The 26,951-nt window shown below is 37.6% G+C and overlaps 1 protein-coding gene and 1 non-coding gene across 124 annotated transcripts in view; one reads left to right on the top strand and one right to left on the bottom strand.

Annotated features, from left to right (window-relative positions):
- UTY (ubiquitously transcribed tetratricopeptide repeat containing, Y-linked) overlaps positions 1-26,747 on the bottom strand; it is a 246,776-nt gene extending 220,029 nt beyond the window's left edge. For 103 of the 123 annotated variants that reach the window (NR_047613.1, NR_047627.1, NR_047602.1 and 100 more), the window contains exons 1-3: positions 25,591-26,747; positions 25,331-25,394; positions 16,198-16,306 (exon numbers count right to left, since the gene is read on the bottom strand). Coding sequence is in view for 67 of the 123 variants with exons in the window: in XM_011531448.4 (XP_011529750.1) it covers positions 16,198-16,306; positions 25,331-25,394; positions 25,591-25,742 (325 nt within the window). In the remaining 56 variants the exon portion in view is untranslated. Of the gene's footprint in view, positions 1-16,197; positions 16,307-21,979; positions 22,103-25,330; positions 25,395-25,590 lie in introns of all 123 variants that reach the window. The other 20 variants (NR_174404.1, NR_174405.1, NM_001400173.1 and 17 more) reach the window with 3 other exon arrangements.
- MIR12120 (microRNA 12120) lies at positions 25,254-25,343 on the top strand. Its single transcript, NR_162134.1, has one exon. It is a non-coding gene; the product is annotated as a microRNA 12120 (primary transcript).
- Positions 26,748-26,951: the final 204 nt, after the last annotated feature.

The following is a 26,951-nucleotide window of genomic DNA, read 5'->3' on the forward strand; positions in this document are numbered from 1 at the left end:
TGTCAGAAGAATTGAACGCCGGGTGCAGTGGCTCATGCCTGTAATCCCAACACTTTGGGAGGCCGAGGCGGCTGGATCACCTGAGGTCAGGAGTTCGAGACCAGCCTGGCCAACATGGCGAAACCCTGTCTCTACCAAAAAAAAAAAAAAAATAGAAAAATAAAATAAAAAAAGGCAAAAATTGGCTGGGTGTGCTGGCACGTGCCCATAATCCCAGCTACTCAGGAGGCTGAGGCAAGAGAATTGCTTGAACCTGGGAGGCAAAGGCTGCTGTGAGCCAAGATCACGTCACTGCACTCCAGCCTAGGTAACAACTACAACAACAACAAAAAACAACTAAAAGTGGGACTCAAACAGATGTCTGTATACTAATTTTCATAGCATATTCCCAACAGCCAAAAGATAGGAAAAAAAACCAAAGCATTCATCCAAGATGAACAGTAAACTGTGGCATACACATACAATAAAATATTATTCAGTAATAAAAAGGAACATAGTAGTAATACATGCTGCAATATAAATGAACCCTGAAAACATTTTGCTGAGTAAAAACAGCTGACATATACAATATGATATCATTTATATATCAATAACAGGCAATCCACAGAGACAGAAGATAGGCTAGTGACTGCAAGGACCTAACTGAAGAAAGGAAGAAAGAGGAGTGACCACTAAAATAACATTTCAATGAAAGAAATATACACATTGTAAACTCGTTGAAGAAAATAAACAGGCAGGGCATGGTGGTTAACGCCTACAATCCTAGCACTTACGGAGGCCAAGGTGGGCAGATCACCTGAGACCAGGAGTTCGAGACTGGCCTAGACAACATGGCAAAACCCTGTCTCTACTAAAAATACAAAATTAGCCAGGCATGGTGGTAGGTGCCTATAATCTCAGCTACTCAAGAGGCTGAGGCAGGACAATCACCCGAACCCAAGTGGCCGAGGTTGCAGTGAGTCAGATCACACCACTTCATTCCAGCCTGGGCGTCAAAAGCAACACTGTCTCAGGAAAAAAAAAAAAAAAAAAAAAAGCCTTAAAAACAAATGAAATTCTAATACATATTATATGAATGACTAAATTAAACACATGCCAGGTAAAAGAATCCAGACACAAAAGGAACAATAATGCATTATTCCACTTATAACTTACCAAGGGAAGATACGTTCATACAGATCAAGGTGTAATGCAGGCAAACAAGGGCTGAGTGTGGTGAATAGGAATTTATAGCTGAATGGCTACAGAGTTTTGTTGGTATGATTAAAGAAAAGTTTTCGAAGAGTGGTGATGGCTATGAGGTACTTACTGCTAAAGAAATTTAACACTTAAAAGTTATTTAAATGGCAAATTGTGTTATATATATTTTAACACAAAACTTTAAAAAAAATGAAAAATGATTTTTTCTGGAATAAGTAAAGATCTCTCCCTGGAAGAGATGGGAAAATTCAAAGATCAGAAAGACTATCCATAATCACAGACTATCATGTGCTAAAGCATATGAACAATAAAATTTTAGAGTAAGGGTAAGAATAACAGATTTTCTAAATTATCACCAAAACACTTCCAACACGAAGGACATGAGATGCTGATTCACAAGGACACATAACAGATTAAAATAGGCCTATTCTAAAACATATCAATTTGAAACTCTGGAAAAATAGTTCTATATTCCCAGTTTTTAGAAAATTAGTATTTTCCTAAGTCTTCAACATCCCCACAGCCTGTGACCATCTAACCCAAATGACCAGGTCCATCAATAGGATAAGGATAGTCCCTGCCAAGTTGACCTTCTTGCCTTTCCCTGATTATGATCTAGAAAAATCCAAAGACATCAGTAAAATTCTCTCTAGACTTTTGCTTGAGTATTCTGTCCTGACCCCTAATAGAGGAGTTCCACTTTCTCTCAGCTCCTGATGTGCTGGGTGAGGCCATTCTCTGGGAGTTCCACCTAGATGACCCCTTGTGTGGGGTGTCAGGCCTCCTTCTTCTAGAACCTGTGAGTATAACAAATCCTTTAATCTCATTTGCCTCATCAAGTATAATCTCCACAGCCATATTGGAATGAGCCTTAGTGACCCCAAAAAGACCACTTACTCCTCTATTTACAACATAAGGACAAAGACTTCCAGGGGTAGGGCACTAAGCAACAGGTCACATGAAAAAAATTGTTATTAAGGAGCTTCAGACTCCATACCAGCAATTCTAGGACCAAGAAAATGGAAAACTACTTCCAAAATTATATTTTTAAAAAACTATTTCCATCCTAGATTTAAATATTTATACTATTAATTTACAGTTGCAAGGGTAAAAGAAAGATATTTCACACAAACATATATGTGAAGTCTCAAAACAACATTATATCTCATGAATCTTTCCTTAAGAAGCTACTAAAGAATGTGCTCATCTAGAAAATACTATACACTGGCTGGGCATGGAGGCTCACACCTATAATCCCAGCACTCTGAGAACAAGGCAGGTATGGATTACTCAAGTTCAAGAGTTCAAAGCCAGCCTCAGGTAATGAAACTGTTTCTTGAAAAAAAACACAAAAATTAGCCAGCCATGGTGACTTGCACCTGTAGTTCCAGCTACCTGGGCAGCTGAAGTGGAAAAATGGCTTCAGCCACAAAGATGGAGGTTGCAGTGAGTCAACACTGAGCCAGTGCACCCCCACCTGGACGACAGAGCAAGAATCTGTCTCTAAAAATAATGAAAAACAATTATATACCAACAAAAAAGATACGTGATAAAGAAAACAGCAGTACCAGAACAAAGAAAAAAGGTTCAAAAATGGCATCTATGTCCCAGATAGAATTTAGGAATACCATGACTCAGGACATATGCATACTGATGTCTACCAACATCTGCTGTTCCTGTATTTCTTTATCTGAAAAATGTCCAGTTAAACTTGGTTTTGATTATTATATGTGCAAACCTATTTTTTTAAACCACCTCTACTATCCTTTTCACACACTATAAACTAGATGACTAGAAGGCCATCTCACTCCCCTTAGAAGTGTTCTAACATGACCATCATTTGAATTGTCCACTCTCTCCCTCATCTTATTTCCTCACAAATTTCTAGTACCTGGAACATATAAGAGCCTAGTCAGAAACACTAATTGTAAGAAGTATGTTGTCCTAAAGTCTGTTTCTAAAAATCAGTTTTATTTATGCTGGGGTATTCAGTTTTTCAAAACTAAACAATATCCAATTATTTATAAGTTGTTGAAGAAAACAACAAAATTTCAAGGAATCTATAAAATCTACTCCTAGAACTAGCATGAATTTAGTAAGCTCTTATGATACAAAGTCAATTTTAAAACTCAACTATTATTTCTTATATAGTACTAACAATAAACAACTATATATAAAAATTTAGCACCAAAATTTTAAATATTTAGATCTTAGTATAAGAATATATTTAATAAGACATGCAGGATCTGTATGTTGAAACTGTCAAAACAAGAAATTAAAGCACAAAACAATTGAAAAGTTATTTCATTTACATGAATTAAAAGAATTACTATAGATAAGATGAACATCCTTCCTAAAATAATTAATAAACTCAACAAAATCCAAATGAACCCCCAAGAACTGGCTTGTCTATACCTGTAAAAAAGTACTCCCTTGAGTGCAGGCTATTGATAGTGACTTTCTTCCAGACAATATGATATGCAAAGAAGCAAAAACAGTAACTTCACAGTGGAGAAACCTAACAAACATGCCTCAGCCAGTGAATAACATTAACATTGCTAAGTCATGTTGACAGTATATGTCTCTGATATGATGTGATAAAAATGCACTTTATTTTTGTAATTTTCCCCCTAAAAAAATGATAATCCTAATTTAATCATGAGAAATACAACACATGATCCCTGTTCAGGGACATGCTACAAAATACCTGACCAATACTCCTGAGTACTATTAACATCATCAAAAATAAGGAAAGCCTGAGAAAGTGGCAACAGACAAGATCATAAGGAGACATGACAACTAAATGAAATGAGCTATCCTAGTCGGAACTCTGAAAGAGAAAAAGGACAATAGGGAAAAACTCTTAAGAAGAATTTGAATAGAGACTTTAGTTAATGTATCAATACTGCTTCATAATACTGTGACAGATCTATCATCCTAGTGGAAGAGGCTAAGAGGGAAACGGAGTATACATAGAAACTCTCTAATAACTTGTAAAATGTAGTATACACTTGACCATGTCTATAAAAAGTAAAAACATTATTGGACATTTAGGTTGGTTCCAGGTCTTTGCTATTGTGAATAGTGCCGATATAAACATATGTGTGCATGTGTCTTTATAGCAGCATGATTTATAATCCTTTGGGTATATACCCAGTAATGGGATGGCTGGGTCAAATGGTATTTCTAGTTCTAGATCCCTGAGGAATCGCCACACTGACTTCCACAATGGTTGAACTAGTTTACAGTCCCACCAACAGTGTAAAAGTGTTCCTATTTCTCCCCATCCTCTCCAGCACCTGTTGTTTCCTGACTTTTTAATGATCGCCATTCTAACTGGTGTGAGATGGTATCTCATTGTGGTTTTGATTTGCATTTCTCTGATGGCCAGTGATGATGAGCATTTTTTCATGCATTTTTTGGCTGCATAAATGTCTTCTTTTGAGAAGTGTCTGTTCACGTCCTTTGCCCACTTTTTGATGGGGTTGTTTGTTTTTTTCTTGTAAATTTGTTTGAGTTCATTGTAGATTCTGGATATTAGCCCTTTGTCAGATGAGTAGTTTGCAAAAATTTTCTCCCATTCTGTAGGTGGCCTGTTCATTCTGATGGTAGTTTCTTTTGCTGTGCAGAAGCTCTTTAGTTCAAATGTCCAACAAGGATAGACTGGATTAAGAAAATGTGGCACATACGCACCATGGAATACTATGCAGCCATAAAAAATGATGAGTTCATGTCCTTTGTAGGGACATGGATGAAGCTGGAAACCATCATTCTCAGCAAACTATCGCAAGGACAAAAAACCAAACATCGCATATTCTCACTCATAGGTGGGAATTGAACCATGAGAACACATGGACACAGGAAGGGGAACATCACACTCTGGGGACTGTTGTGGGGTGGGGGTAGGGATAGCATTAGGAGATATACCTAATGCTAAATGACGAGTTAAGTGATGCAGCACATCAACATGGCACACGTATACATATGTAACAAACCTGCATGTTGTGCACATGTACCCTAAAACTTAAAGTATAATAATAATAAAATTTAAAAAAAAGTAAAAACGTTACAATCATTCTGTCAACCATTGTCCTAGATAAAGGCATTAGGAGAGTACTAGGTCAGCCTCCATTTGCAACCTATAAAGTTTAAAATTCATATTCAGAATTTATGAGGAATTTATTTACCTCTTATACATGTACACCTAATGTACTTAAGCTTACCTGTTATATTTTCAGCCATTTAAGCAAGTTCTCAAGAATCAGTCTATTACATCAGTCCCTGGGATCTTATCATTTAAAAAATCTTAACATTTTATGTCTTCTAAATAGGTTATTAAAATTAATAACTATTACCAATCTCCTTCATTATAGTTTCTCTGTCGAATTTACCTTATCCAAAGCATTGTCCTTATTTTTAATAGGTAAGTCAAGTACTGACCTATGGATAAAATTCCTAATCCTACTATAACCAGACTTTTCTGAAGTCTTAAACACAGGATGGGGCAAGAGTGTGAGGATCATTTATTTTGATTTCTTTATACTACACCATGTCTGTTTCATAATAATTGCAGTAATCGTCTGACTGATTTTTCTCTTGGTAAACCAAAATTCACGCACTCTTTATTATGTGCTTCTTGGGTCCTCAGTGGCTGAAGTTGTCCTTGTTCATCCCACTATGAAACCTTTTAATATTATTATAGGCAAGATCATTGTTTTCCTTTACCACTTACAAAAATGGTTTAACAACCATTTCAACATCAACCCCTTGATGAATGCCCAAAACTTAAGTTTTATCAATCCCTGAACCCAATTTTAGTCTTAAACAGCCTTCTAATTATTTTTAATATTTGTTTTGTATTTAAATCTATTCATTTTAGTCTGTTATCAGCTTAAATCCCTAATTTCTTGTATTTAAATCTATTCATTTTAGTCTGTTATAAGCTTAAATCCCTAATTTCCTTAAAAGTATTCCTAAGTACCTGAAATTCACTGTTTCATTAAAGCCAGAGAACATAAAACTCATTTGTTAATCACAGATTAAATACACAAACATACTTCTTAAAAGTATTAAAATGACTGCCAAGAACCAACAATATATTTATATAAAGAAAAAAATTCAAGAGCAAATAATGAAAGTTAACTATTAAAAAAACACTTCAGAGTTCTATAACCCCTACCATATTTTTATCTTTAACATAATAGAAATACAAGGAGAAAAAGAAGTGGAAAAGGTGCCATGTCATTTTTTCTTTAACCTCATGACCTTGCTTCACTTCTTTTAAATAAAAAAATGGGGTCGGGCACATTGGCTCACACCTGTAATCCCAACACTTCGGGAGGTCAGGATGGCAGACTGCTTGATCTCGGAAGTTCAAGACCAGTGTGGGCAATATGGCAAAACCCCATCTCCACAAAGAATACAAAAAATATCCTGGCATGGTGGCGCACGCCTGTAGCCCCAGCTACTCAGATGGCTGATGTGGGAGGACTGCTTGAGCTGGGGAAGCGGAGATAGCAGTTAGCCATTATTGTGCCACCACACTCCAGACTGGACGACAGAGCCAAACCTTGTCTCAAGAAGAAAAAAAAATGAGGGTGAGGGGTGTAAAGAGATGTTGGTCAAAGGAAACAAAATTTTAGTAAGATAGCATAAGTTCAAGGGATCTACTATAAAACATAGTAACTATATTCATATTATATATCTTGAAAATTGCAGAGAGTAAATTTTAAATGTTCTTAACACCAAAATAAATAGAAATTTGTGAAGTAATGCAAATGTTAGTTTCTACAATGTACACATATTTCAAAACGAGATGTTGTACACGAGAAAGATACATAATTTTTATGTCATTTTACAAATAATTTTTTAAAGGGGAAATACAAACTTTACAAAAGGTCCTGACTACTGTATACATACTAGAACAAAAAAATTTATGACAACTTCTCCCATTTTTATGAGTTTTAAGGATTTGTAAGAATTTTCTTAGAAATGAAAACAGAAGCAATTGTCAAAGAACAAAAAAGAAGGAAGGAAAGGAAGAAAGAGAAGGAAGGAGAGAAAGGAAAGAGAAGGAAAAGAAGGGAAATGAGGGAAGGAGGGTGGAAAGGAGGGAGGGAGCGAAAGAAGGAGGGGAAAGGACAGGGTGGGGGGCGCGGGAAGGAGAGTGGAAGAGAAATTAGTAATATAAACTACAATCCAATGGTACAAATAATACTAAGCAGTGATAGGAATTCAAGAACATAGTTACTCTCATACATACTGATATGCAAATATAAATCAATAAAGCCTTTCAAGAGGACAATCTAGCATTAAGCATTCAAAAGTTCATTTAAAAACAAGAGTATTTGTGTGTGTGTATTCCTCGCTTCCATGATGCCGGTAATGGATATATAACAGCAATTATTGGCACATAAAAATTTTCACTAGGCTTGTCAACAGTGATTATTTTAAAAGCATAAAAAGAAACAAAGAGACTAAAATGCTCAGTAAGAAAATGTTTTCTAGTTTTAAGAAGAGTCTCACTCTGTTGCCCAAGCTGGAGTGCAATGGCACCATCTCAGCTCACCTCCGCCTCCTGGGTTCAAGAGATTCTCCTGTCTCAATGGGTTCAAGAGATTCTCGTCTCAGTCCCAGAGAAGCTGGGATTACAGGTGTGCGCCACCGCACCCTGCTAGTTTTTGTTATTTTTAGTAGAGACGAGGTTTACCATATTGGCCAGGCTGGTCTCAAACTCCCGACCTCAGGTGATCTGCCTAACTTGGCCTCCCGAAGTCCTGGAATTACAGGCATGAGCCACCATGCCCAGCCGAGAAAATGTTTAACTTAAGTAATGGAATAAGGGGTTACAAATGTTTTAAAATTGTATATGCAGGCTATAAATTTCAGGTATTTTGGCACGATATTATTAGTATACTCTATTGACTTTAAGTTACAAACTGGTATGCAGAGTAAAAAACACATTTTAAATTCTGAAATGTTTATATTGACACAATAGTCTATTAGGAGTTTTATCAAAAGTTTTAACAGTTGTCTCTTGGTGGCAAATGTATTACTGAAGCCTTCGTAGAATTTTTCTTAAATACTGTGAGTCACCAAGCTCAATGCAGTAAATACAGATGTAAACAAAACACAAAGCAATAATTTATCTTTTTAGTTATCTGAACACTGGTTTTTTTGATGTTTCTTTTATTGAGATGAAATCCACATAACATACAATTAGCAATTTTAGAGTGTACAATTCAGTGGCATTTAGTATATTCTCAATGTTGTGCAGCCACCACCACTCTCTATTTTCAAGTTTTTTTGTTACTCCAGAAGTACACACTATAATTCTCTGGCAATCATTAATCTACTCTGTCTCTAAGGATTTACCTATTCTGAATATTTTATATAAAATAAGTCAAAAAACACGGGATTCTGTGTCTGGCTCCTTTCACTTAGCATAATGTCTTTAAGGGACATGCAGGTTGTAGCAGGTATCAGTACTCCATTCCTTTTTATGGCTGAGTAATATTCCGTTGTCTGTATATACTACAGCTTGTTTACATAGTCATGGACATTTGAGTTGTTTCCACCTTTTGGCTACTTGAATCAAGTTGCTATGGGCATTCATGAACAAGTGTTTGTTTGAGTGGTTTGTTTTGTTTCAATTATTTAGGGGTGTATACCTCAGAGTAGCATTTCTGGTTCATTGGTAATTCTGTGAAGTTTTTGAGGATATATACATATATATATATATATGTACATATTTTTATTATACTTTAAGTTCTGGGGTACATGTGCACAATGTGCAGGTTTGTTACATATGTATACATGTGCTATGTTGGTGTGCTGCACCCATTAACTCGTCATTTACATTAGGTATATCTCCTAATGCTATTCCTCCCCCCTCCCCCCAACCCCACAACAGGCCCTGGTGTGTAATGTTCCCTTTCCTGTGTCCAAGTGTTCTCATTGTTTAATTCCCACCTATGAGTGAGAACGCCCAGTGTTTGTTTTTTTGTCCCTCCAATAGTTTGCTGAAATGATAGTTTCCAGCTTCATCCATGTCCCTACAAAGGACATGAACTCATCCTTTTTTATGGCTGCATAGTATTCCACGGTGTATATGTGCCACATTTTCTTAATCCAGTCTATCATTGATGGGCATTTGGGTTGGTTCCAAGTCTTTGCTATTGTGAATAGTGCCTCAATAATCTTACATATGCATGTGTCTTTACAACAGCATGATTTATAATCCTTTGGGCATATACTCAGTAATGGGATGGCTGGGTCAAATCCTATTTCTAGTTCCAGATCCTTGAGGAATCATCACACTGTCTTCCACAATGGTTGAACTAGTTTACAGTTCCACCAACAGTGTATAAGTTTTCCTATTTCTCCATATCCTCTCCAGCACCTGTTGACATTACTAAAATAACATTCTCATCAAGGTCATCAGGGTCTCAGAACTGGCTACATACAACCTCCAAGAAAGTTTCGTTCTTTCTGTTTTTGCAATGTGTTCTGCCACAAATTCATCAGTTCTCAAAGCTAACAGAACTTTTACTAGTTGCCCAATGCATCAATTCCATAGTTCTGAGAGCATGGGCATGAATGTCTGAAAACCTGAGGTATGATCACTAATATGCTATTCTCTGAACTTCTCAATTGCATTTTCCTCCTTGAATAAATCAGACTAAATTAGTGACACCACAAATTGTGATCATTGAGAAATCTCTAAAGGTTTTTCAGAAGCCGAGTAGGAAGCTATCTATGACTTTTTAAAACTCTGACTGAATTCTAAATATATTTAATTGGACATTACATGAAGACGTTGTGTATTTAACTTCTGAATGCAGGGAAGATAAATACAAAATCACCTGATGGATATGCAAAAATTTATCAGCTTTACAAAGACATATAATACCATTCTATGAGCACAAGTTTATTGCAATATTTTGTCCTTTACTGTCAACAAAAGAACACAGCCACATGATATAGGAAAAATCTATATTCTTTACAAATTTTCCATGAATCTCTAGCTAAAAGATCATATGACATATATGCAACGATTTATCAGCTTTCAGAGCTTTAATTGATATTCATTACTTGTGGGTTCTGTTATTTGACTCACGAAAATTTATATATACACAAAATCAATACTTAATGATGGTTTCAAAGATATTCACAGACCTGCTCAGGGCAGCAATAAATTCGACCCACTGGATACACACTCCCAGCTAATGTTAGAAGCGGTGGGCCTTTCTCTGACTTCATGTGTCAAGTATTCTAAACAAACAGGCTTTTCCTGCTGTATGCAGTGTCACATTTTTCTGATTTTTGCTCTTTTGTTAGTAATTTCGCTGTTTAAAATCACTATCCAGCTGGGTGCAGTGGCTCACACCTGTAATCCCAGCACTCTGAGAGGCCAAAGCAGGCGTATCACTTGAGGTCAGAAGTTTAAGACCAGCTTGGCCAACATGGTGAGACCCCATCTCTATTAAAAATATAAAAATTAGCTGGGTGTGGTGGCACATACCTGTAATCCCAGCTCCTAGGGAGGCTGAGGCACAAGAATCCCTTGAACCCAAGAATCGCTTGAACCCAGGAGACATAGGTTGCAGTAAGCCAAGATCGCACCACTGCACACCAGCCTCGTTGACAGAGTGAGATTGTGTTTCAAAAAATAAAGCTGAGTGCAGTGGCTCACACCTGTAATCCCAGCACTTGGGAGGCCAAGGCGGGTGGATCATGAGGTCAGGAGATCAAGACCATCCTGGCTAACACGGTGAAACCCCATCTCTACTAAAAATACAAAAAAATTGCCAGGCGTGGTGGCGGGCACCTGCAGTCCCAGCTACTTGGGAGGCTGAGGCAGGAGGCTGAGGCTGAGACAGATGAACCCGGGAGGTGGAGGTGGCAGTGAGCCGAGATCACGTCACAGCACTCCAGCCTGGGTGACAGTGAGACCCTGTCTCAAAAAAGTAAATAAATACATAAAATAAATACATAAAAAATAATAAAATACAATATAAAATAACAAAATAAAATGAAACATTAAGAAGTATACAAAATCACTAACCGATGTATAGTGCTGAAGAGCTGTCTGATGTCCCTAAGTACAAAAAGAACGTCATGTGCCAATGTGCCTAAATACAAAAAGAATGTGATGTGCCTCACAGAAAAATATATTTCATTCAGGCATGAGTTATAATGCTTCTGGCTTTGAGTTCAATGATAATGAATCAACAATTTAGATTTTAGTAGGGATTTTTAAACAGAAATACACATAAAATATAGTTATGTATTGATCAGCTAACAACAATGTTGTGATCAAAGGCTAATAGGAACTTTATCCTGTATTTCCCTTTAGGAACAATAGTTCAGTATTTGCTAATTCAGTTTTCACAATGATTTATAACATTAATCTAAATGACAAGAATCTATATCCATTGTTAAGCAAATTCATTGTTTTATACAGACACACACACACACATATACTGAGTCTGAGTCTAGTAAGACAGAGAGCCTATCTCAGGCTGCTAATCTGGATAACAGAAGCCTAGTATTCATTGCAAGCTTTGGCCTAAGGCTCATGAAAGCTGCCCAAAGCATATGGAGTCTCATCTGCCCATGTCCACTTGCACCATAGCTGAGGAACCCTGAAAAGCAGCCCTAAGTTTAACACCCTGGCATTATAAGCCTTAATGAGCTAAACAGTTGAAAGAACACACCACCAGCTCTTTAGTGCACCCTGTTTCTGGTGTGGAAGGCAGTTGGGAAAAAAGGAGGCTGTTTGCTGAGTCCCTCATCATCTTAGGATGTTGTATTCCCAGTACATTCTACAGTCATTCTTGTGAACTACAAGTGAGAAAGAATGAAAACTGGGTTGGTCCAAGGCCATGCTGACTACCATACTCCATGAAACATACACTATGGTCACTAGTTTATATAAATATTCTACTTTATACTGAAAACAAACAGTATTTCCACATTACAGATTAAGAAACTGTATATTTAAGAAATTCCCTTCTCTAGGCAACAGAAAAAAGCTATAATCAAGAATCAGGAAGGGAGAGCACTGGGAAGAATAGCTAATGGATGCTGGGCTTAATACCAAGGTGATGGGTGGATCTGTGCAGCAAACAACCATGGTACATGTCTACTTATATAACAAACCTGCACATCCTGCACATGTACCCCAGAACTTAAAATAAAAGTTGAAGGAAAAAAACACCGAATTCCTTTTTTAAAAAAACAGATTTTTATATTTTCAAACTATACCAACACTTCAAATTAAAGAAACACCATCTTCAATTTAAACAGCAACACAAATAGGCTCATCCATAAATGAAATAAAACTATTATTTTTGGAGAAGCATAACTCAAAGACCTATTAGTGGGAAGCACCCATTTTATGTTCTTATACTCTATGTACCAGGACAGAGTATTATAATTTCACCCAAGAAAGTGAAAGGCAAACAAAAGAAGAAAAAGAAACATAAAGTTTGACATACATTATTAGTCATTCTTGGAGTAATAGTAAATGTACAGGAACCAAAAACACAGAGCCAAAATTTTTAACAAAAGTGGCTGTCAGTACAACAGGTAACAAATTACTTACCTGAAAGAAGAATAGAAGAGAGAAAGTTATGAATGGCTGGAATCTCAGTTAGCTTGTAATTGGAAAACTTTCAACTCAACACCAAATATAAAATATAAATGAATGTCTCTGTATTCATTTTATTTTCTTCTCTACTATTACAAGTGATCAAGTTAACCTCTACGTCTAAAAAGACTAATTCTTTTTATCTTTGAGACAGAGTGTTGCCCTGTTGCACACACTGGAGTGCAGCGGCACAATCTCAGCTCACTGCCACCTCTGCCTCCAGGGTTCAGGCAATTCTCCTGCCCCAGCCTATAGAGTAGTTGGGATTACAGGCGCATGCCACCATGCCCAGCTAATTTTTTGTATCTTTAGTAGAGACAGGGTTTCACCATTTTGGGAGGCTGGTCTTGAACTCCTGACCTCATGATCCACCTGCTTTGGCCTCCCAAAGTGCTGGGATTATAGGCGTGAGCCACTGCGCCTCACCAAAAGACTAATTCTTTTCATGCCAATATTGACCTGAGAGAACATTTAATCAAGAACTTAAATGTCAGCGTTATTCTTCTCTGACCTTAATGTATTTTGCCCAATGTCTGACCCACCATGTGCCCAAAGCACAACAAAACACAACAAAATAACCTTCAAAACAATTTCCTTGGAGTCTTTATTCACTCCACAGACAAAAATTATACAAGGTCTCTTCTCTTCTTTTTAAATAGAAAATGTGACTAAATTCTCAATCTTAAAGCTTTAAGAAATTTAAAAATACACGCCAGGAGCAATGGCTCATGCCTGTAATCCCAAAACTTTGGGAGGTCAAGGCAGGCAGATCACCTGAGGTCAGGAGTTCAAGACCAGCCTGGTCAACATGTTAAAACCCCATCTCTACTAAAAATACAAAAATTAGCTGGGAGTGGTGGCAGGCGCCTGTAATCCCAGCTACTCAGGGGAGACTGAGGCATGAGAATCACTTGAACAGGTAGGCAGAGGTTGCAATGAGTCAAGTTAGAGTTTGTGCCACTGCATTCCTGGAGACACACCAAGACTCTGTCTCAAAAAAGAAAAAAAAAAAAAAGAAATTAAAAATACATATTAAGTGACTGCTACATAGCAAAGTCAGACAGTCCCTATTTAAATCTACTTCTCAATTCAGGGTCTTTGTTTATTAGCTCTCAAGTTTGCATATTAAACACACAAAAAAAATCTTAAATGTGTACTAGAAAAACCTATGTATTTTTCTTCTCCAATTGTTTCCTTTGAAATATTACACTTTAGGCCAGGCATGGTGGCTCACACCTGTAATACGAGCACTTTGAGAGGCAGACACGGGTGGATCACTTGAGGTCAGGAGTTGGAGACCGGCCTGGCCAACATGGTGAAAACCCATCTCTATTAAAAATACAAAAATTAGCCAGTGTGGTGGCGCATGCTTGTAATTCCAGCTACTTGGCAGGCTGAGGCATGAGAATCGCTTGAACCCAGGAGGCAGAGGTTGCAGTGAGCCGACATTGTGACACTGCACTCTAGCCTGGGCAACAAAACAAGACTGTCTCAAAAAAAAAAGAAAAAGAAATATTGCATTTTAACCAAATTTTTATCTAAAAGTTTATAAATAAACATTACCAGTAAAAGTCACCTGCTAAAATAAAGCCCATTTAACAAGTGCTAAGAATTTCAGGCCGGGTGCGGTGGCTCACGCCTGTAATCCCAGCACTTTGGGAGGCTGAGGCGGGCGGATCAAGAGGTCACGAGATTGAGAACATCCTGGCTAACACTGTGAAACCCGGTATCTACTAAAAATATATAAAAAAAAATTAGCCAGGCGTGGTGGCAGGCACTTGTAGTCCCAGCTACTCAGGAGGCTGAGGCAGGAGAATGGCATGAACCTGTGAGGCGGAGCTTGCAGTGAGCCGAGATGGCGCCAGTGCACTCCAGCGTGGGTGACAGTGAGACTCCATCTCAAAAAAAAAAAGAATCCCATTTATCATTCATTGACTTCCTCTGCTACTATTCCCCAACCTACTACATTATTAGGAGGAAGAAGTTAGAGAAACTTAAATAAATCTGTTACTATAAACCATTTTTAAATGGCAAAGTTCCAGCTGAAACATTAATACCCCATAGAGCATGCTACGTCAAATTAAAAGTACATTTCATTAGTAAACACTGGCTTAACCTAACAAAAAATGAGGTACATCAGATACTCTACTGCTAAAGCACACAAGTAGTATACCCCCACCAACTCTTCCCTCTAATCCTAAAATAGTCAACTGTTCTTTCTACTACCCATATTTGCTGGAAAATATATCTACCTACTCTCTACAATATGTTTACTTATATCCAAAAGTTATAAAATATTCTTTGGTATGAGAATATTGGTGTGAAGGAAAAATGTTCTAATTTCCTAAATAAATAATGCTCTTGGTCAGTGGCTTGGTACTATGAAAAGTACACAATTTTTACAGTTATCTTAAGTAAACTTATCTCCACCTATTGCTTTTTTTTTTTTTTTTGAGACGGAGCCTTGCTCTGTTGCCTAGGCTGGAATGCAGTGGCGCAATCTCGGCTCACTGCAACCTCCGCCTCCCAGGTCCAAGCGATTCTCCTGCTCCAGTCTCACTAGTTGGGATTATAGGCACACGTCACCACACCCAGCTAATTTTTGTAATTTTAGTAGAGACGAGGTTTTTCCATGTTGGCCAGGATGGTCTTGAACTCCTAACCTCAGGTGATCTGCCCACCTTGGCCTCCCAAAGTGCTAGGATTACAGGCATGAGCCACCAGGCCCACCCCTCCACCTATTTCTGAGAAGAAAAATCATTTGACTGAATGAAAAAAATCTGCTGTATAGAAGGCTCAAACTCAAGAGATGTATTCCTTTATTCCTTTAGAGTAACACACTGCTACAGATTCCTTTAGAATAACACACTGTATTCTAACCTGTATTCCTTCAGAATAACACACTGCTACAGATCAGACTTGCAATATTTTCTAACTATAATGAAAAATTTTAAAGAAAATCGAGAAATCAAATGAGGAAATACTGTTTTCCTGATCTTTCCAAAATGTCCACGTTTGTATAATATAGACAAAGATGACAAACGTATTGTCTTTCTACTGTTAACATTTTTAAAAACTTGATTTTCACAAGGGCAAGCAAAATAGCAATACAAGTGTAGGATATTATACGTTTTACTCAATAATCTAATTGACGGCATATTTACATGAAATCACATAAAATTTTCACATCTCTATTTAGTCTAAATTCTTTCTCATTGATTACTATGTTTTTAAGTTTATCAGAAGAAAGGAAAAATCAGAAGTATCCCTGAAGAAGGAAAAAACGTTACAACTATGGGGCAAATGTAAGTCAAGCAAGAAATTTAGAAAGAGAATAACAATACCTTTTGAATAATCTTCCAACAAGAGGTTGAAGTGACCTAATTGGCAAAAGAAGTCAGACTCCACTTTTCCTTCAGCTTTTAAGATTAAAGATTCGTAGCAGCGAACAGCCTAGAAATAAAAATTATAAACATTAAGAAAAAGGCATGTCCTTCCTGGAAGAATACATACATCTGCACGAGATTCTTAAAGAAATCAAAGCAACCATAAATGTATGTCATTTCTTCCATAGGCATAGGATTAAATTCGGCATTTCAGAGAGGAAATAACTTCTCTTTAAGAATTTACTAATGAAGAAATTAGATCCCAAGGATTCTTGGTGAATTTTGAAGTCTTCAGCAGTATACCCATATTAAAAGGAGATGACAGAAGCCAAAGTAATGATGGGCTGACAGGACGACTAGATCAGTTTCATTAAAAAGGGCTAACTTGAAGATATATCTTTTGACACCAGCTGTTTAGAGGATCTGAAGTGACCTTGCTGGACAGTGGAAGTAATCACAACATGGAACTCCTTGAATAAAAATTTACTGACTTTAAAAATAATAATAATAATTATAATAGTAATTCACTAATGAAGCCAACAGTCATGATCTAAGTACTTTTCCATCTTGAAAAGATCATATGCTCAATAAAATAAACTAGGAGCTCATTAATAACTTTATATAAAAGTTACATATCTAAATTCTTATTATAATCCTTATTTCTACAACAAAACTACTCTCAAATTAAGCATTGGAGGAACATTACTGACTCTGGTAGCCATTAGCCACATGAAATTTTTAAACATTTGGAATGTGGAGAGCACAAACTGAGATGTGCTGTGTTTCAAAGATTTCACACAAACTTTGGTGGGGGAGTGGTTACGGGTTCCGATCAAATCTTTGAACTTTCAGGAGTATGCAGAAGGGAAAAACTGAATGAAAACATTACTAAAACATCAGAAAGAACAGTCTTCTGGAATTTTGCTGCAAATAGAGTTGTTACTAACCACAGATCTTGAAAAACTTAACTTCTTCTAACTACAGTCTTAACATGCAAACAGCTTGTTATTTGCAAAGGAAAAGATGCTCAGTATTTTCAAGAATAAATGAATTACTTGTAATGCAGAACAAAATGAATAAATCTGAAAGTAAGCTGAAGGAAAGGAGCAAGGCTAAAGCATAGTATATTTTTCACAATCCCACTTACATAATATTCTAGAAATGTAAACCATCTTTAGTGTCAGAAAGCAGATCAGTGATTACTTATAATTCCTGCCTCCTCTTTCTGAATTACTAAACCACTGCCTGAGTTTACTTGTACTAAGCCCCTACTGTGACAGACCCAATACGAAGTACTTTACATAAATGTTCTTCCTTACACAAAATGCAGTATCCGGAAAACAGGACTTCAAGTAATGGCAGCATGAAAACGATAGTGAATGCACTCTACAAAAAAGAAGGGGTAATCGCAGCAACTTTGGGAGGCCGAAGGCAGGTGGATCACAAGGTCAAGAGATATAGATCATCCTGGTCAACATGGTGAAACCCCGTGCCTACTAAAAATACAAAAATTAGCTGGACATGGTGGTGCGCATCTGTAGTCCCAGCTACCGGAGAGGCTGAGGCAGGACAATCACTTGAAGCCAGGAGGCAGAGGTTACAGTGAGCCAAGACTGTGCCACTGCACTCCAGCCTGACCAACAGAGTGAGACCCCGGCTCAAAAAAAAAAAAAGAGGAGGACGAAAGGGAATAAAGGCAAAACATAGGAAATTTTATTTTTTAACATTGTGCTAACATTCACAGCAGCAAAGAGTTTCACAGTTTAGTCCACAAGTACCCTCCACTCTATGCAAATTTTCTTAAAATACATATCTAAAATGTCTAATTCTCCACCAAACATTACTAGACCTGAAAACAAACAGGTAAGTGTAACCCTATTATAATAAGTCACTTTTTTCAATCAACAAAAACTTACCCAAATAAATTTATATATTGTATTCAGCAGGAACTTCAAAGTAGTTATTACAAATATACTTAATGAATTAAACAGTGGGCAAATACAGGTGATTGAGGTTGCAGTAAGCTGTCATCATGCCACTGCACTCTACCCTGGGTGACACAGCAAGACTTGAAAAAAAAGAAAAAGTGGGCAAAGGACAAGAACAGATCAAAAGAAGACACATAATAGTCAAAAAGCACATTTAAAAAATGTTCAACATCACTAATCACCAGAGAACTGCAAATCAAAACCACAATGAGATATCATCTTAACACTAGACAGAATGTCTATCATTAAAAAGATAAAAAAAAAAAAGAGATATTGGCAGGGATACAGACAAAAGGAATCTCTTATACACTTTCATAGAGTATTAGCACACTCTGAAAAACAGTATGGAGATTTCTCAAACTACTAAAAACAAAACTACCATTCAATCCAACAATCCCATTACACGGTATATACCCAAAGAATAAGAAATCATTATATCAAAATGATAACTGCATTTGTATGTTTACTGCAGCTCTCCTCACAATAGCAAAGATAGGTAATTACTCCAATGTCCACCAATGGATAACTGGATAAAGAAAAAGCGGCATATATAAAATTAAATACTATTTGGCAATTAAAAGAATGAAAATATGTCTTATGCAACAACAAGATGGAACTGAAGGTGATTATCTTAAGTGAAACAACTCAGAAACTGAAAACCAACACTAAATATTTAATACATCAATATAAAAGATCAAATCCAAAAAAAGAAAACATTGAACAAAAACAGAGCTTCAGAAACATTTTGAGATCATGCCAGGTGTTACAATCTTAATATAACTGGAATCCAAATGAAAAAATGGGAGAATAAAATAACTATCCTCCAGGCTGGGCACGGAGGCTCACGCCTGTAATCCCAGCACTTTGGGAGGCTGAGGTGGGTGAATCACAAGGTCAGGAGTTCAAGACCAGCCCGCCCAACATGGTGAAAACCCGTCTCAACTAAAAACATAAAAAATTAGTTGGGCGTAGTGGTGGGTGGCTGTTATCCCAGCTACTAGGGAGTCTGAGGCAAGAGAATAGGGTGGCTGTTATCCCAGCTACTTGGGAGGCTGAGGCAAGAGAATCGCTTGAACTTGGGAGGTGGAGGTTGCAGTGGGCCAATATCACGCCACTGCACTCCAACCCAGGCAACAGTGCAAGACTCTGTCTCGAGAAAAAAAAAATAATGAAAGAACTATCATCAAAAATTCTATACTTCATTATACTATACTTCTATTAAAAAGGAGAATCATATTCCCAGATAAACAAAGGCAAAGAACTAACTGACGATAGACATACTTTACCAGAAAGAAGTATTGTTTCACGCAGGAAAAAATTAAAATAGCAGGCAGTAATGTGAATTCCCAAGGCAATAACATGGTTGTGGGATGAGCAAGGAGTGCTGGGCCAACTGCTAAGTTTGTACCTAAGGGATACACCCCCTGAAAACTGCTAATCTGTTTTTGTATCTCTCTGGATTTGCAATTTTCGAGAAAGTAAGACTTCCTTGAAAAACAAACCTGAGGGCGTTCATCACCACTACACCTACCTTGTAAGAAATGCTGAAGTAGTCCCACAGGTTAAAGAAAAATGATGTTAATCAGCACACAAAACCATTTGAAAATACAAAATAAAGGTAAACATATAGACAAATATAGTAACCTATAATATTATAATGCAGATGAAAAAATAATGAATAAATCTGGTATCTAATTTTTTAAGGCATAAAAAAATTCTAAAAAATACATTAATGGATCCCTAAAGGACAGATATAAAGAGCAGTTTTTATATGCAACTGAAATTTAGTTCTTGTCAGTTGACAAAAGATGATTACTGGCCGGGTGTGGTGGCTCATGCCTGTAATCCCAGCACTTTAGGAGGCCAAGGCAGGCAGATCACCTAGGTCAGGAGTTGGAGACCAGCCTGGGCAACATGGTAAAAGCCTGTCTCTACTAAAAAAATACAAAAACAGCTATGTGTGGTGGCAGGTACGTGAAATCTCAGCTACTTGGGAGGCTGAGGCAGCTTGAACCTGGGACGTGGAGGTTGCAGTGGGCTGACATAGCACCACTGAACTTCAGCATGGGCAACAGAAGGAAACTGCATCTCAAAAAGAAAAAAAAACAAAGATAGTTTTATAACTTTATGAAGCTTTATGTTACTGCCATGGTAACTACAAAGAAAACATATAGGACATATGTACAAAGTGAAATGAAAAGAGAATTAAAATTTGTCACTACAAAAAAATCCAATGAAACACAAAGGAAGGCAGAAAGAGAGGAAAAGAGAAATAAAAAGGGTACAACATAGAAAACAAGGTAAACTTTTAGACAATTATAGTAACCTATATTTTAAGGCATAAAAATGAAATGAAACAAAGAAAATGGAAGTAGTAAGTCCTTTCTTGTCAGTAAAGAGAAACAGGTAATGCACCAATCATAATACACAGAGGGAATAACTGGATTTAAAAAAACAAGATACAACTACACATTGCCTAAAAGACATTCACTTTAGACCTAAGGACACGCACAGGCCAAAAGTGTAAAAATGAGAAAAGATCTGTATTCTATTCTCTGAAGAGGGCAAGAGTGTCCATCCTGGGACTATAGGTGCAGATCACCATGTCTAGCTAATTTCTTAGTTTTTTGTAGAGATGGAGTTTTGCCATGTTGCCCAGGCTAGTCTTGAACTTCTGGACTCAACTGATGCATCAGCCTCCATCTCCGAAACGGCTGGGATTACAGGCAAGAGTCACCACGCCAGGCCAAGTAAAGCTTATAACAAAATGAGATCAGCGAGTAAAAGAATAGCAAAGTACATTACTTTAAACATCTGCTAAAGCTAAAGTCTGATTTTAAATCTGAATTCTAAATAAAATTACAAGATGCACTGCTGTGGTATGAATCAAATAATCTCCAAGTAACAACTCTGTCCTATTAAGAAACAGCAATGCAAACTTTTATTTTCATAAGCTAACCTTTACTGTGAACTTTTAAAGCCCTTCACACATTTATTCTACACTCATGTTCCGGTGTTAGTCATCCTACCACTTAAAGGACTATTTGTTCAATCTAAACTGAGAGAGGTCTTACTTCAATACGACCTTCATAAAAGTTTTCCATTCATGGCACTCTCAAGTTTGTTCTGCTCTGAGTTGCAGCAGCAATTTATAAGCCAATCATGTGAAGATTCAAAGCAAGTTCATAAAATATGCCAGTCATTTTATGACAGCCATTGACTAATTTACAAAATATGTAGGTTTAGGTCTTAATTTGTTGAATGAAACAATCTTATATTCTTTAAAATACAAATTAGCTCTCTAGACAGCTCATTAAAATGGGATCATTCGTTAGCATCACAGTAAGTTGCAGTGCAAAAATAACCTTCAAAACTAAAAATCAATCTATGTCAGAACAGATGTATAATACTGTGGTTGGAAAGCACTAAAATTTAATTTTGGCTTACAGCATTATGCCTATAAATAAATTTTGCCACCTGAGTCACAGACAAAACAGGCAAAACAATCTTATTTGGCAATTTAAATAATATCAAATGTTCCCTAGTTATTTCAATTTGACTCTTTTAAAAGCTAGCTAGTTAGTAATAAAAGTAGGCTGGATGCAGTGGCTCACTCCTGTAATCCCAGCACTTTGGGAGGCTGAGGAGAGCAGATCACCTGAGGTCAGGAGTTCCAGACCAGCCTGGCCAACATGATGAAACCCTGTCTCTACTACAAATACAAAAAATTAGCCAAGCATGGTGGTGGATACCTGTAATCCCAGCTACTTGGGAGGCTGAGGCAGGAGAATCACTTGAACCCAGAACACAGAGGTTGCAGTGAGGTGAGACCGCACTATTCCACTCCAGCCAGGGCAACAAGAGTGAAACTCCATCTCGGGGGAAAAAAAAGTAAAGTAAACCAATACCAGAAAAGTGCCCATTTATTATCACATAGTTTGGAACTGTGCCTAGATATCAAAATATTTTCTATAATTGCTTCAGATATGTATGTCCAACGTTGTACCCAAATTTTCTATTAGCATTCTTACATAATGCCTACTTAATACTTTGTCCAGTAATACGTAAACAATAACAACTCTAATTGTTTGGAAGACAACATCCAAACTGTTCCTGATACACCAAATTAAAGACCTAATTCTAAATAACAAAACATGACATTATTTCTATAGTTGCTTTTTTAACTCAAAACACTATTTTTACAACTGGAAATGAAGTTCTACAGGTTACAGGTTAGCAAACAAAACGCATATAACGCAAGATCTTAAATATCACCTTTCAAATATTACAGTATAAAAAACCACTCAAAGCATTTTAATAGGCGTTTCTCCTGTTAATGCCTCTAGCATTATATTGAAGGCATACTGTAATAGTAATATTCTATTTGACAGAGTGAAACTCTATCATAATACAAACAAAATCAACCTAAAACGTTTTCCAACATGAAATAAAAGTTACTATTGCTAAAATCTGTTTTTCACTTAATTGAACTGCGTATTATTTAAATACGAGCAAGTTATTAAGCTTCAACCAAAAAGTTTTTGCTGAAAAGTATTTACACTAATTCAGATGACAATCTTATAAAAATTAATAAAAATCTTATAAAACATAAGTTACAGAATTTTAAGGAAATCTATTGTTACAACCATCCTAATGGTTTGATATGCGGGTTCACGTATGAGGTCAAAAAAAAAAAAAATCAGAGAAACTAGTCGTTGGGATAGAGCATCCTCAATGTCCAGAAAACTTGACAGGGAAAAAAGCATATTTATAACAATATTTTAAACCTTTAGAAGCTTGTAAAACAATACTGACATTAGTAAAATCTATAAATAAAACTTTCATAGAAAACATAAATACGAATAAAAACTGAAATATCAGTGAAATAGATCATTCTAAGAACTTTTTTAAAAAACAGTGATATATGCAAAGCTCTGTGAGAAAGGGAAAAAATACTTTATTATACATACTGTAGAATAATTTGTCTTGGAGAACAGGTACTATGGTTTGAATATGTCCCCCAAAGTTCATGCATTGAAAACATAATCCTCAATGCAACAGTGTTGTGAAATGATGTCTTTAAGATTTGACAACATCATAAGCAGGCTGCTCTCATGGATGGGTTAATGTCATAGTGAGGATAGGTTCATTACAGAGAGTTAGGCATCCCCCATCTCTTGCACTGTGATATACTTTCTTGCCCTTCCACCTTCTCCAAAGAATGATGCAGCACTAAAGCCCTCATGAAACGCAGCCCCTTGATCCTGGACTTCCCAGCCTTCAGAATCCTGAGCCAAATGAAGTGAAATTGAGTTAATATTTTTTTCATTTCAAAAAAGTCACTGCAGTTTAATATACGGCATTACTCAGTGTTTTATGAAGCTACAGTTCTCCCCAAACATAATGAAACCACTTTCTCATATTTAAAATGTTACTGTAATCAAAATTGGAAAGGATCAATATGTGAAAAAAAAATTCCTTAAAATTTAAACCCCATATTGTCTATCTGAAAAGTTCATTCCAAACTAAAATGTTAACCACAACCCACTGAGAATTTATCCTAACTCCAGCATATGAAGATTTAAAGTTCTCAACCAGTATTTTCCCACATTATCCCAGAAAACATCAAATTACTTTTATTTCATTATCATAACTATTTTAAACATTAAGGCAGATCGAGTCACTGTTGCTTAAATCGTATCATTGATACTATAACATGTTTTTCATAAAGCTATTTTCACTTGCATAATCAAAGTTTAACTCATGTTTCATTTATCAGTCAAATAAAGTGGATTTACTAACTATATATATACACATTATACATACATATATATATTACATTTTAGTTTTCTGATCAGTATTTGCCCCCAAAACAAACATACAAAGGAGATTATAGGTAAAAGAACTCAGCGTCTGTACTGAATTAAACTACAAAGTAAAACGTCTTGGTAAGTAAAATGTTCATCCTGAGAAAATAATTAGTATTTCCTTGTCAAATACAATAATAAACTGAAATTCTTAACTACTGGCTTCAGCATCTAAAAGATGGCGCGATTGTTGTACCGTTCTTATTTCACGGGACCAATTGACAACATACAAATACTTTAACAAGATTTTGGTGAGAGGGTAAAAAACGATACACACAGGAATATTCCAGGGCCAAGTTACGCAACAATTCACGTGGGAGTAACTAAACATGCTGCAATTAATAAGCACATATAGGTTTAAAAATGCTGCTGTCAATGTTGGAGATAACGCAAGAATTCTACTTTTAAATAATAATAATTTTTAATAAGCAACATGAAGCTACGTCAGCGCTCTTTACGGTCTATTCCTTGCTAAGGTTTCCGGGTTAATACCTCCACCCTCTTCCCAAGCTTCCCCCTTTATTGCTCCTCCCCCTTTTTACCCGCCATCTTGGCTGATAGGAGCAGCCATTAACTAAACGACAGTGCCAACTTTTCACACAAACAACAAATTCTTCCCACTGTGAGCATGACACCTAAGAAACAAGGTTCCTGAATGGAAAAAGCACACACATTCATGAAATCACATTTGCAGCACTGTGCATCCTAAAAAAGTCAACAAATCACTAAACTTCAGGCTAAACATACACGCATCAGTTTATAGGTCAAATATCTACTGCAAACTCTTCACCGCTGTAACTTACTTGCTACTTACACTTAGGACACCAGGGATATTTTTTTTAAAAAGGCAAAAAAATGTTTAAAATTAGACACCAAGAGCCAAATACCAAAAGGCGAGGGGAAGAAGCAGGAAGTTATGAATTTTGAAAACTGTACACATTCACTATTTGTGACGCTAAAATTCAGGAACAAAAGGCCCTAAAGTAACAGGCATGTGGTGTAGACCCGGTTTAGCCCGGTCCCAAAGCGTCCGATTTTTTTTTTCCTCAGAGTAGAAGGGAGTCTGGAGCAAGGGGCGAAGTATTCCAGAGTACGGGGACAGCAAAGGCAAGAAACACTTTTCCGACCCCTTGGCCATGGAGCAGAGCCAAAATAAATACTGGCTGGGCGGTAAGGAACGCGGGGCCTTGGTAGAGCAAAGTGCGGACCAAAGACTTTGCGTCTGGTTGCTTTTACCTTGCCTAGTAGGGTCTTCGTTCTGGCGCCATCTTCATGAAGCCTCACGAACCCGAAGAGACGGCTGTAGAGAGAGAGACACAGAGCTTGTTAATGGTCTGAGAAAGCCAGTGACTTGCTCCTTCCCGAGTCCAAGAGCGACAGCGACAGATTGGTGAGTGCCAAGCTGAGGATGACCCCGTCATCAACGTGGGCAAGCTGCGTCCAGGCCTTCCCGGAGAGTATCGCCAGCCAACCAGGCGGGTGATGGAGGTGCGTACCTGTCCATGCCACCAAGCGCCTCCCTTTCCTCGACTGTCAGGCTAACAGACTCCTCTTCACTCTCGCGGCTCGCTTTTCCTTCCGCCATTTTCTTTGCCTCATCACCGAAGGCAACAGCGGCGGTAGTGAGCGACACTGCGCAGGATTTCATGGAAACAACAAATTTCCAAGTCCCACGACGATACCCAACCTTAATCGAGTAGTTGAAAAGACGCCTTCAATCGCTGCTTGAGACTGTGACGCCAATTTTATCGCCTCCTCAGCGGCTGCAAGGAAAAAAGCTGAGGCAAAGACTTAAGCTACCGAAGCACGGGCAGCGGAACTCGGCTACCTGGATCACATCTGGGAAACTACAGGGAAGGCAGAAGCTCGCAGTGCTGGAGAGCACAGCAGAATTTCTTAAAATCACAAACTTTGCCAGCACCAGCACAAAGTTGTAATTGTGTCACGGGCGAACCCCACGCAGCCGCCGCGACCTCCCCGCTCCCAACCACTTAGTTGTAGCCAATCTAGGCGACTGATTCGTCTCACGTGATCTTTGTTGACTTACGTCAGGCATTGCTCCACTGTACTCCTAGGCTGCTGGGACCCCGCCCAGCCAGTTCGCCAAGGACCTAGGAACATGACAGAGGCTGACTGATTCTGACCGCTGGTTGGTTGATGGTCACGTCTATGGAGAAAAGGGTAGTCTCTGGGATGGAACAACCTGTAGGTTGTGCTAGTTAAATGCATTAAGATAGAAAATGGAGTGTCTGTGCTGGGTGTTTTTGCAGTTGCGATACGCTTGAAGGGGAAGAGAGCGATGGGAAGGGCGGCATCGGGCATCACCCACGGGGCGCAAATGCGAAAAGAGGACACCATGGACTTTAGGAGAGTCCGTAATGAGGCTCCCACTGTCACAAGCCTTGCGAATGCGAGACCTTGCGGGGCATGGCAGGGAAGCTGCGCAGGCCCTAAACCTTCACCCTCAAGACTTTTGGCCCTAAGGCCTTGTCACCTCCATAGGCTGGTTCTTTGCCCATTTCCTCTCCACTGACCAAGTCTAAAGAGAAGGCATAATATCTTATGACCTCAGTCGGTAAGCCAGGCCCTAGGGAATCAACGTGGCAACTGCATTTATCAGTTCATGATATTATCTAAACAACAAACGATGAGCAAAAAAAAAAAAAAAAAAAAAAGTTACTCCACAAACCCAAAATGTTTATTTCTATTGTGATAATGATAATTCCGTGAGGTCTCAGTAAGAGTAGGAGCTTCTGTGGACAGGAATTATAAGAACAATAATTAAGACCTTCATCACACTTTCAAGATGCAGTAACCCTTAGAAAAGAAAAAAACACCACTTTTTTCTTACTTTCTC

The sequence above is a fragment of the Homo sapiens genome, chromosome Y (assembly GCF_000001405.40).
Source record: "Homo sapiens chromosome Y, GRCh38.p14 Primary Assembly".
Lineage (NCBI taxonomy): Eukaryota > Metazoa > Chordata > Mammalia > Primates > Hominidae > Homo > Homo sapiens.